Below are 13356 nucleotides of genomic sequence, written 5' to 3'. Positions count from 1 at the left end.
CTCTTTCCCTGCCACCGCCAGGTCGTGCGGACGCAAAGGCTTTGGTGTGTTCAAGATTGGGCTTCACCCATAACCCACTGCCATGGCCGAGGAACGCATTGCTGTTGGAGGTGTAATGGACGTTAATACTGCTTTACAAGAGGTGCTGAAGACCGCCCTCATCCACAATGGCCTAGCATGTGGAATTTGCAAAGCTGCCAAAGCCTTAGACAAGCGCCAAGCCCATCTTTGTGTGCTGGCATCCAACTGTGATGAGCCTATGGATGTCAAGTTGGTGGAGGCCCTTTGTGCTGAACACCAAATCGACCTAATTAAGGTTGATGACAACAAGAAACTAGGGGAATGGGTAGGTCTCTGTAAAACTGACAGAGAGGGGAAACCCCGTAAAGTGGTTGGTCGCAGTTGTGTAGTAGTTAAGGACTATGGCACGGAGTCCCAGGCCAAGGATGTCATTGAAGAGTACTTCAAATGCAAGAAATGACAAAATAAATCTTTGACTCACACACACACACACAAAGAATCTTTAGAATATGCCACCTTGTCATGTATTCACATATATGTGCTCACATATACACACACAGCACACATGTAAAAACACATGAATGCTGAGCTAGGTAGGACTCAGGGGCCCGGCAGGTCTAGGCCCTGCTGCGTAGCCTTGGGCAAGTCACTTCATCTCTCTGAGCTATAGTTGCCTTCTCTGAGAGAGAGTGAAGTGAGATGATTCTTGAGATCAAAGAATGTAGGAGCTGGAAGAAAAGTCAGGCATCATCTTCCATCCCTTCATTTTACAGATGTATAATTAGAGATTAGAAGGGGTTCAGAAGCCATGCCATCTACTCCTTCCTTGGACCACTGGGGAAACTGAGGCCCACATAGGGAAAGAAAGTGACTATTCTGGTGTACTTTAATCCATGCACTTTATCCCAGGGAGCCAGGAGACTATCTCAGAAATATCTCTTCAGTCTCAACTACTTTCAACCTTCCAAAGCTAGACTGGAGAGGAAGAAGATGGTGGGTAACCAATGAATGAAGGAAAACAATGAGAAGTACCCTCATTGGGGAAAAAATGGTTGGAAAACACTAGGGTTAATCAAGGCAGGCAGGTTTCTTTACTAAGTATAAGTCTTAGGGCCATACAGCTTTGTGAGTCTACAGGTGAGGCTGTGTTGTGCAGCATCCCTCAGATGGCTGGATCACGGATGCTTTCCCTTGGAGTGTAGCATCTCAGGAGGCTGGAGTTATGGACCACCCCTGAGGAAACACTATGTAAGCTATAGGCAATTTTTAAGCCATAAAGAAAAATATTTTCTTATTTTTAGTATAAAAAATTTTACACCCATGCAATTGATTTTAAGCAACATTCAACTATATTGAAGGATGATTTTAAGTGAATTTAAAGACTCAATTTGATAGTTTTTCAATGATTCGTAACATTTGTCATGAGAAGTATAGGATTTGCTCCTTCCATTTATATTTATACTTTATTTTATTTTTGAGACAGTCTCACTCTGTCACCCAGGCTGGAGTGCAGTGGTGCTATCTCAGCTCACTGCAACTTTTGCCTCCCCGTTTCAAGCGATTCTCCTGCCTCAGCCTCCTGAGTAGCTGGGATTATAGGCGTGAGCCACCATTCCCAGCTAATTTTTATATTTTTAGTAGACATGGGGTTTCACCATGTTGGCCAGGCTGGTTTTGAACCCCTGACCTCAGGTGATCCACCCACCTCAGCCTCCCAAAGTGCTGGGATTGCAGGTATGAGCCACCGCACCCAGCCTCCTTCCACTTTTCATTCTTCTGATGTGGCAGTTAATTCTCGATGTCTTCTATTTTTTTTAACCTGGAAATTTAACATGTATATTTAGCTTAATTTCTCAAGTTAATATCTTTACCCTTCTCCTGACCAATTCAACGACCTAAGTATGCTTAAACTCTAACCACTCCCCACTGACTTATATGCCATTATTGCCCAGTGTTTTAGTTGTGTCTTATGTCTGGAAGCCCCTACAGTAGACATTACAACTATTGTTTTATATACCAACATTCATATAGATTTGTTCACATGTTAACCACTTTGCTTTCTTTCTTTCATTCTTTCGTACATCTCAGACTTTTGAGTTCTCTTACTGAAGATCTGTTTATAACAAACTATTTTGCTTTGTTTACAAATTTCTTTATATCACTTTTTATTCTTAAAGGGTAGTTTTATTTGGTACTAAATCTAGGTAGTGGTTACCGTCTCTAAAGTTCAATTTCCTCATCTGTTAAAAGTGGAGAGTAAATATCTTCCTTAGCGATTTCATGAGGGGGTTCTTGGGAGCATCACATGGCATAATGACTAAAAGCTTTCAGTGAACAAAGCTCAGGTGTTGACGCTGTCTTCTGTGCCCTGAGAAAACCCTGGGAGTTGTGTAAGACACTGCTTGCTTTCAGTAAACATGCTCTTTGCCAAAATGTCCTAACACACTGTTGCTCAACCTTGTTTTCATTATTGATGATTGTCCCTGTAAGGAGCCTTTTTAGATTTTTTTCCCTAATTGCCCCCTCCTCTCATGGAAATTTGATACTACGAGTAAACTGCAAATCCATTGGGCACTATATGTATATCTGTCCTTTATACCTAGAAGGAGTAAATACTTTTTTTTTTTTTTCAATTGGCCACCAAGAACTAGCTTTTGCTCTCTTGAGGGCAATATCGCCCTTGCTGAGAATGTGTGTTCTAGTGGCATTAGAACATTGGCAGCATTTTCAAACTGCAGTGCTGCCTAAGCATTAAACGATCAGGTGCCGGGTGCAGTGGCTTAGCCGGGTACAGTGGCTCATGCCTGTAATCTCAGCACTTTGGGAGGCCAAGGCAGGCAGATTGCTTGAGCTCAGGAGTTCAAGACCAGCCTGGGCAACATGGTGAAACACCATCTCTACAACAAATACAAAAATTAGCTGGGTGTGGTGGCTCATGCCTGTAGTCCCAGCTACTTGGGAGGCTGAGGTCAGAGAATTCCTCAGGACTTTGATGCTGCAGTGAGCCATGATCGTGACACTGCACTCCAGCCTAGGTGACAGAGTGAGACCCTGTCTCAAACAAAACAAAACAAAACAACAAAACAAAACAGGATCGGGCTTTGGAATTGGGTAGACCTGGAATTAAATCCTTGCTGTCATTGAGTAGATGTGTCACATCAGGTAGAGCTACTTCGCCTCTCTAAGCCTGTTTTAGATCTCAAACATGGTGACAGTATTTAAATAGGCATTTAGTACCGTGCCCAGAACATAGTATTTAATAAATGTTAGCTACTAACAAACATTTCCAAAAGAGGGTAATCCTTAACATTTTTCTTTTCCTATAACATATTTTAACATATTTAGTTATTATAAAAGTAAGTTATTTATGTCCACCCCCTCTCCAATTCCCCACACCATAAGGGACATGGAACTGGCCCGGTGAGGAGGAGAAGGACTCCCTGAGGGACTGGAAGGCAGCCCTGTGGCAGGGGAACAGAGAGAGGTCCTGGCAGGTTGACTCTCAGGGTGGCTATGCAGAGGCCACCACTAGGGTCCAGCTACTTCTGACCACACTGGAGGACATTTCTCTAAAGGTCTTAAAGGAGAATGAGAACTTGCTAAGAGAGGGGCCAGCTGGAGTTTCTCCTAAGGAGAAACAGATTGGAAGTGTAGAAGGCTTTCAACCAGAATTCAGCTGTGAACATTTGACCACTTTTCAAAGACCTCTAACATATCTGGATTAGGTTCAAAAGAAGCTGTTACTTAGAGTTCAGTTTGGAGCTTGGATTGAACAATGACCACCAATAAAAATGTACAGGTGTTTGCCTGTGTGTTAAGGATCTTCTCTGGGGCTGGGTGCGGTGACTCATGCCTGTAATCCCAGCAGTTTGGGAGGCTGAGGCGGGCAGATTGCTTGAGCTCAGGAGTTCGAGACCAGCCTGGCCAACGTGGTGAAGTCTTGTCTCTACTAAAAATACAAAAATTAGCTGGGTGTGGTGGCATGTGCCTGTTGTCCCAACTACTTGGGAGGCTGAGGTGGTAGAATCGCTTGAGCCCGGGAGGCGGAGGTTACAGTGAGCCGAGATCACCTCACTGCACTCCAGCCTGGGTGATAGGAAAAAAAAAAAAAAAAAGATCTCTTTGGCAGAATGTTTTCTTTCAGCATGAAAATAGAATGTCAAGGCTATGCCAATGTGTGGTTTAGATAAAGTATATGTTTTGGTCCAAAATGTTTCATGAGTGCAATGTTAATTGTGTGCTGGTGAACCTGGCCCAGTTATAAGAAGGTTCTAATTTATAAATGTGTCTTTCTATGTAAGTTAAGATACTTTTAAGCCTTGGGAAAGAGAGGCTAGTCATTTAGGAATTAGACCAGACTCTATATAACAGCCTAAAATGACAGTGACTTATACACATAAGGGTTTGATTTTCTCACGTCAAAGAAGTCCGCATGTAGGCAGTTCAAGGTCTCTGTTTGTCAAGACTCGGTGTCCTTTTACATTTCTGCCCTGCCATCCTAGTTTCTGACTGCCATCTTTGGTGAAGGCCATCTCATTCCCAGAAAATTGGAGGTGGGAAGGGGCAAAGGGAAAGGGGGGCTGGGGCTCCCTTTACTGTGCCTCCCAGTTTTTTCTTACATCTAATTGGCCAGTAAACTAGCTGGGAAGAAGCTGGGAAGTGTAGTCTTATTCCAAAAGGCAATGTTCCTCTCTAAAAGTCAGGGTTCTGTTATTACCAAGGAAGAAAGACCACTGGGAGTGAAGTGAGCAGATAATAACCTGTGCCTATGTAAGACTGTTTCTGTCCATGTACAGGATCATCAAGGTGACAGAGAGACAGAGAGACAGAGAGAGAGAGAGCACTTTATAAAGGCTAAGACCTGCTGACAGCCTCAAGGAATAGCACTGAGCTGATATCATCAGACAAAGTCCTGTTTTTCAGCTTCTTCCAGAAAAGACGAGATGGGGCTCCCCATAGCTGAGCTGTGTTCCAGGAGCATCTCCATCCATTCCAAGGGGAAGAGTGCAGGGCATGGAGCCTTCTGTCTTGGGGAAGAAGTAGGGACATGGAGGATCAGGGCAAGAACAGGTGTGTGGGGTGTTTGTGTATCTCAATGACTTGTGAGATTTCTTTTTCCTTTTTGATTTGCATTTGGCAAATCCTCTCTCCCCCTTTTAAGCCCCTAGTGTTAAAAAGTTCTTGAAATGGATTGTAACAAATAAAGTTAGGCCAGGGAGAGCTGAAATGCACTGTGTATTAGTCAGGGTTCCTTAGAGGGACAGAACTAATAGGACGGATGGATGGATGGAGATATCTATATCTAATCTCTATCTATCTATCTATCTATCTATCTATCTATCTATCTATCTATCAATCATCTATCTATCTATCTTATCTATCTAGAGTGTGAGTGCATTTATTAAGTATTAACTTATATGATCACAAGGTCCCACAATAGGCTGTCTGCAAGCTTGAGGAGCAAGGAGAGACTTGGGAGTCCGAGTCTCAAAACTGAAGAGCTGGGAGTCCAATGTTTGAGGGCAGGAAGCATCCAGCGTGGGAGAAGGATGAAGGCTGGGAGGTTAGGCCAGCCTCACCTCTTCATTTTTCTGCCTGCTTTATATTCATTGGCAGCTGATTAGATTGTGCCCACGAGATTAAGGTTGGGTCTGTCTTCCCCCAGTCCACTGACTCAAATGTTCATCTTCTTTGGCATCACCCTCACAGACACACCCAGGATCAATACTTTGCATCCTTCAATCAAATCAAGTTGATTTGATTGAACCTGTATTAACCATCACAGGTTGTGTGTAAATCACTGAAGTTGGCCTACTAAGTAATTTTGCAAGGGCCTTCTGCCCAAAGATGGGTGGATTCCCTGGGAGTTCCGTCAGCAACACACCAGATTCTTCTGTTTGCTTCTGAAGCCTGACTTGACTTCTGGAGGCTTCTTCCTGGAGCAGGACTAGTTGGATGAGATAAAAGTGCTCTTTGAGATCTCATGGAGTAGCATTACTTGAGTTATAAAATCTCTTCATGGGCTTAAAACATGTAAATAGGAGCTTTCAGATTGCAAGTTCAACAAGCATTGTTCACAGTTAGTGGTTGCTTTTGTGGTATTTTGGGAAGAACATGGGCATAAAACTTGGCTCTACCACTCGCTATGTGGCCAGCTGCCAGTTCCTGAACCCTCCTGTGTCTCAGTTTCCTCACTGATTGTTGAAAGGAGTAAACGAAATCATTTGTGTGTGGGTTTGTGTGTGTATACAATACGGGTTTCAACGTAGTTGTAATAATATCAAACTGTTTCTTTTGAATCTTATTTTCTTTATTCAATGCCCCATCATACATATTTTCCATGTTATTACACATCTTTACAGTGTCGATATTCATTTAACCATTTTCCTATTTTTGAATATTGAAGTTGGATATTGGCTTCCAGGTTTTCTTGATGCAAAAATCTTTGAAATTATTCATTTAACTAGATTTTCAGAAATTAAATTGCTGGGTTAAGGAGATTTGGATACATATTGCCAAATTATTTTTCCAAAAGGCTTTAACTAATTTATTCCACCACCAGCAACAGAGGACAGAGCAATTTTTGTCATTCTTAAGTATGTCATAAGCCATATTCATACTCCAGCCTGGGCAACAAGAGCGAAACTTCCTCTTAAAAAAAAAAGAAATGCATATTATAATTTGTAACATGACAATTTTATAGGTGAAAAATAAAATCCCGGTTTAAAATTTTGTATGTTTTTTTATGACTAGTGAGATTGCATTTTTTTCAAATGTATTTTCCAGTCTGAGATCCATTTTTGTAAGTTGTTTGTCCGGTATGGCTCCAGTGCATTATTCTGTTGGGTGTTAGAATACAGAACATCTTCAACATAGATTCAGTTTGGTGTCCTGATTGTGAACATGACTCCATTTGTGTTATATGTGTGTGATTGTATTCAACTAGGAATATGTGCTTTTTGGCTAATGTACAAAATGCTGGGTGCGCCAGAGATGTGTCTGAAATTCATGGGATGAGACTTTTACCTATTTCTCCTTCCACAGACTCTTTAGTTGTAGCTGGAGAAAAGGCAAGTGAATTCCTTTTGGAGCTGGGTAGAAAGGGCATGGAGTTAAGGGTCACGAAGTCAGCACATTCCCTTGTGGAATTGTGCCTGTAATCTGCTGATTTCTACCCTGATTCTCTACCTCTCATTTTGCCTGAAGTGACACTGTCCCTAGACCAGTCCGTGGCCAGCCCACATCATTTCTTTTAGGGTTATCTGAGGATCTGAGGTCCATGTGTTTCACAAGTACCCACAGGATGTGCCCACCATTTCCCTGCAATTCAATTCCAAGTCTGCGTTCTGAAGTAGAGGTTTCAACCCTGGGAGATACTTGTGGGTGTTGGAAGTGAGGGGTGGGCCTGGGGAAGGACTGAGTCATGAGGGTCACCAGGGCCTCAAGGAAGAGAAAGTTTCACCAGCTTCACCTCTTCAGAAGGGATCTCAGCCATGCAGATTCTTGGAGGGAATTAGGAGGCTTTTAAAGTTACAGAGATGTCCTCAGCTCTGAGCAATGTTCTGAGGAGTAAAGTCGTCATCAGCCCATTTTGGCCCTATGTGGGCATCCTCTTTCCCACTCTTTCCTCTTGGGAGGAGGGACTCCAGTTTCACAGCTTGCCAGGGCTTTGGGCTTGTAGTATGGGAAGAATATGGAGCTAGGTGGAACTCTTGACCATAAGGATTTCATTTCCTGGTGACTTGAATCTTTAGGCCCAGAGGCTGTTCAGAATCTAACCAGCTACAACAAAATTGGGACTTGAGGGGGATTAAGAAAAACTTGGCTTTAAAAATTAGAATTAACAACAAGAGAATGGTTAAATGAGTTCAGGTATAAAAGACTGCAATAGTTAAAAAGAAATAAGGATACAGACATAAAAAGATCTTTGAGATGTACTGTTAATTGAAGAAAACAAGTTGTAGAATAAATTTTAAAATACAATCATGTTTATGCAAAAGAACAACAACAAAAAAACCTAGCTTTCTCCCCGCCACAGGTACATGCATGAAACCATACCCAGGAGGTTAGGAAGATGCCACACTCAATGGATGACAGTGGCTGCCTCTGGGGAGTGTGTGTGAAGGTCGACCAGACCTTGCACTTTGTTTTGTTCACATTTTAAAAGATAATGTAACTACGTCTTTCTGCTGTAATCAGAAATAAAAAAAATAGAACAACTGGCTTGAAAATCTAGGATGCAAATCCTTCTGCTTATCTGAGACCCAGGTGGTCACTGGTTCAGTCCTGATGCAGAGCAATGGCACTGACATTGAAATTGCACTCAAAGAAACCGAGCTGCAGCTCACCATGGACATGTTGTAGGATTCCAACCAGGAAGTGCTCTGAGCTTCACAGGGTTGCTGTGAGTATTAAATGAGATAATATATGAATGTGCTTTGCAAAAGTTAAAGTGGGAGACACATATAAGGTAGAAATACTATACTGTGTCATTACATTCTTGTACTAGCTCCCAAAGTGAAAGTGGGATAAGAATGCAAGCACCACAACCCGATGAAGTAGATATTATTATGATCATCTCCATTCCCCAGCTGAGGAGTTAAGTTTTAGTTAATTTTCTATTGGTCATTCGGCTGTTCAGCTGCAGTCAGAACTTGAACCCAGGCTCCCTGCTGTTCTCAACTGCCACTGCATGTTGAAGCACTCGGACACATTTACAGCCATGTGTATATATATTTACCGTTTCCTTCTTGGAGCAGTTCTGACAAAGCTGAGATTTAAACCTCCAAGAACAAATATATGAAACTGATTCTAAGCACTGTAGAGTATTTATGATGTGTTTGTGCTAGGCATTGTAGGAATAACAAGTGGCTAACATTTTCTGATCATCTGCTGTGTGCAAGACCGTCTTCTAAGCGCTTTACATGTATTAGTGCGCACAACTTTATGCAAGAGGTACTACTATCCCCACTTTACAGTTGAGAAAAATGCTGCACAGAGAGTTTAAATATCTTGCTCAAAGCAAAGACGTTTAAGATATGGTCTCTACCCTGAGTCCAATATGCGTGAAATAAAACAATGGAGAAGTGCTGCAATGCAGCTATTTACAAAGTTCCAAGGGCGCTCAGAGAGTACCATCCCTGCAGGGGAAAGCGAAGCACTTCGTGTGAGATCCTGAAAGTCCGGGGTGAGCCACTTCAAGCAGGGGCGGGGCGCGTGTGCAAGGCCCTGGGCTGAATTAATGAGAACCCGATCTCATGTTCTGGGTCAGAACCGAGCTCCATCCGGACTGCAGCGCAAGCCAAAGAAATGCAGTGGCTGCTGTCCCGGCTGGGCCCTTCTGCATACCCCGGGGGCATCGGGCCAGGGAGCCGTGCTCCCCTTGGGCCGCGGGGTTGGTAAGCAGCAAACCGAGCTGAAGCGGCCAAGAACCCTCCCGTAGGGCAGAGTGAGGATTGGCGGGAGAGAAAAGCCTAAAGGGACTGTAGCAATTGGCTGCCGCCTTTTCCACCGTAGGAGGATCGGGCTGACACTCCCAGCGTTGGGACTTATTCAGGTAAAGATTATGTCTGGAGCCCCATCTTGCTTCAGAGACCTCCCGTTCTGCGCTTATCACTGCGTCCCCGGAAACCAGACGTCCCTTAAGAGACTTAGCCAATTATCATCCACGGCCATTACCGTGGAGAGCCTAGCGCTGTCAGCGAGTTTCTGATTGGCTGTTGCTGGAAGGGGGCGGGCCCGGAGAAGAACCGTGCAGCGTGCGGAAGGAGCCCTACTTGCCCACCGTTCTCTCCAACTCAGGACGGACGGCGCCGCCAAGTGGTCTGTAGGGGTAATGCCTCGTGCTGTTGCCCCGCAGAGGGCGGGCTTGGCTTGCCAGGCTCCTGGAGAGGAAAGCCTTTTAACCTAAATGAAGTAGAAAGAGAAATACCTAAACTTGAATAGGAATCAGTCGTGCTGAATAAGAGAGCTCTTAGTCAGAATGCGTGTCGTCGGTTCCAGCTCCACATTAACTCAGTTTCCTTTCTTTCCTGAGCCTCATCTGTCAGATGGGGATAATGATAATACCTATCTCCAAGGCTTGCCATGAGGTTTCAATGAAATTAATATGTTTAAGGTTCGCACAGTGCCATGCGCATAATAGGTACACGATAAGCAATAACTGGTGGGGATCAGTGCACTGGTTAAGAGTGAGCATTCTGGGTCAGTGCCGTGACTCACACCTATAATCTCAGCATTTTGTGAGGCTGAGGCAGGAGGATTGCTTGAGTCCAAGAGTTTGAGAGCAGCCTGGGAAACATAGTGTGACCCTCTCTCTACAAAAAATAAAATTATCTAGACGTGTGATGTGTGCCTGTAGTCCCAGCTACTTGGGTGGCTGAGGTGGGAGGATCACTTGAGCCTGGGAGGTCGAGGCTGCAATGAGATGAGATTGCACCACAGCACTATAGCCTGGGTGACAGAGTGAGACCTTGTCTCAAAAAAAAAAAAAAAGAAAAAAACAAAAAGAATGAGAATTTTGCCGTTTGAAAGAATACCTGTTGAGTCCCAAGCCTGCATAGCACTAGCATGGTGAGATTACATAGCCTCCCTGTCGCAGTTTCCTCATCTGGAAATGAGACTAACAATAACACCTACTTCATGGAATTGTGGTTTAATTGTGGTACTGATAAAATACCCAATACAAAGCAATCAGTAAATGTTGGCCCCTATTATTCATATCATTTATGAGGAAGGGAATAATGATTATTATTTCCCTTCTTCCTCCCCCAGGCAATAGGCTACTTCAGCCTGAGTTGGCCCTTCTGAAAGAGGAATAGTGGCTTGCTTTGTCTGGAGTTAGTCTGTAAACCTATCACACTCACACGTATGAACATAGGACTTGGAAAATCTCTATATCACACTCTTGCCCACAGTTTACATTATTCTTTTAGGCACTGTTTTCTTAAGCCCCGTTGGCACCTGACGAAAGCATAACATTATAATGATTAACTTATTGGAGTAGAATTGGTTTATTAGAGTATCTTTTAAGTTGGCTGTAGTGTTCAACAGTATTCTGAGGGCAGTGTACATAGAAGGACATGTACTGATGAAGACAAGGGTTTCAGGGGTTTGAAATCAAAGGACATAAGTCAGCATATACTCTAGGGTGAGCCTGGGTTGGGACCAATGATGGTGAAGTGTGTAGCGGTGGTTGGGTGATTGGTTGGGAGCAGGGAAGTCTGGAGTGTTTCTGAGTCATGGGAAGATTACTGGACAGACTTGGAGACTTGAATTCTGGCTAAAACGAATTCACTCTCTGGCTGTGTGATCTTGGACAAGTCACTTATATTTTCTGAGAACTGATTTCTTTGTAGTAAAATGAAAATAGAATATGATTCTTGTGTGTAGTGCGTAATAAGTACTCTATAACTGCTAGTTATTTGTTGTTATTCATAGTATCACAAATAATTCCTCCTCAAACGTATGTTGCGAGAATCATGGAGAAATCTGATCTGTTTTTATATTTCAAGAGTGATGAGTGCCTAAGATCACCAAATTAACAGTTTGGGAGTTTGGCAAGGGTTAGTCTACCTTTCCTTTCTTTTCCATTTTGTAGTTCTTATCTTCTCTTCTGTCCTTAATTAAAAGTCTATCCTTCAAGTCACACAAGTGACCCAGTTCAGTGAGGACCTTCATGGTTCTTTGGATGCCTCCCTGCTGTACCATACGTTTGACCACCTCCCATCATCTGCCCCACCCATTTCCTTCTCTTCTGGCCTATAGGAGAGGACTCTAGCTAGAGCTTAGGCCCTGTGTACAGTGGTCTCATGTATCTTGGCAGCCCCAGGATTCCAGGGTTCTTCTTTGGATGAATGACCTTGTAATTGAAGCCCAAAGTTTAAGGCTGGTACTGCTGAGCACATACTGTGGAGGTAAGTGGGTAGGACAGCTGACACCCTCTCCAATTAATCATCCAGCAATAATTTTGGTGCGGTTACTATAGCCTGGTTACTTTGGAGGCCACATTCTTCCATTCTGAAGATATATGTAGAGTTATTTCTCAGTTAAAAATGAAGACAGGCATAATTTTTAGTGGGAAAATATGGGGCTTTTGTGTTGGGCAGATTTAAATTTGAATCTGGTCCTTTACTATGTGATCTTAGAACTAGTTGCTTATTTTCACAGTTTGCTTATCTATAGAATGGGGACAATTGGAATAACAGTAGTAAAAAGGAGTGAACTTTTGATAAATAGAATAACGTAGATGAATCTTAAAATAATCATGTTGGATATAAGATGCAAGACAAAAAGATTACATACCGAGATTATGTTTATATAAAGTTCTAGAAAATGCAAACTTATCTGTAGTGTCAGAAAGCAGGTCAGTGGTTGCCTGGGGACGAGCAAGTGGAGGGGCAGGAGGAAGGATTACAAAGAGAGAGAGGAAAACTTTGGGAGCTGATAGATATGTTCATTACCTTGATTGCAATATGGCTTCCCAGGTATATACATATATCTAAACTTATTAAATTGCACATTTTAAATATGTGCAGTTTATGACATCAGTCTTTCAATAAACTGTTAAAATGGGGATAATAAAATGTATTCATAAATAGTTGGTGATGTTTTAATGAAGAAAACATGTTAAAGTGCCAGAAATACAGCAGGCGATCAATAATGGGCACTCACTTCTTTCCCATTTTCATACTTTAAAAAAGAACACTAGGGAATTAACTTTAGCATAATATTTATATGACAAAGCCTATAAGTGGCACCAATAGCTTAAGTAATATAGAATACACATTTTCCTGTCTTTCTTGGTATCATAGGTACAGTATTATAAAGATTAAATGATGCAATCACATAAAGAACTTTGAACATTTCTGGGCATATAGTAAGTACTTGTTAATTGTTTTTTATTGCATTTACTACTATTGTTATGATGGGTTTGATGGAAGGCATGGAGTGAATAATCAGTAAATATTGGTTACATGTAATTGTAATTATTTTCATTATTAAAGTGGATGAGGAGGAAAGATTTGCTAAAAGATCAAGGAAGCTGATTTCCAAAAGAGTTTGCTTTTCTTGAGATTTGATGGGGCTTGGATTTATGTGTTTGTTTAATGCTAAATTGTGACAGAAACCATCTGGAAGACAGTTGGTGAGTGTCTTCTACAGCAACATAGCAACTCATTATGATTGTTAATATAGATGATATTAAAGGTAGCAGGTGCATTTATAATGATCAGTGAATTTAAATGGGATTAAATGGCTTCCAGCCATTAACAAAGTGGTACCAACATTTGGTAGACATTATCTTAGTGTCAGACAGAAGAATCTCATGAGGCACTC

The 13356-nt window shown here is 42.3% G+C and overlaps 1 pseudogene; it reads left to right on the top strand.

The window, feature by feature from the left end:
• RPS12P4 (ribosomal protein S12 pseudogene 4) lies at positions 1-503 on the top strand (annotated as a pseudogene).

Source organism: Homo sapiens, chromosome 2 (assembly GCF_000001405.40).
Source record: "Homo sapiens chromosome 2, GRCh38.p14 Primary Assembly".
In the NCBI taxonomy this organism is placed as follows: domain Eukaryota; kingdom Metazoa; phylum Chordata; class Mammalia; order Primates; family Hominidae; genus Homo; species Homo sapiens.
This window is presented reverse-complemented; position numbering and strand designations above follow the sequence as displayed.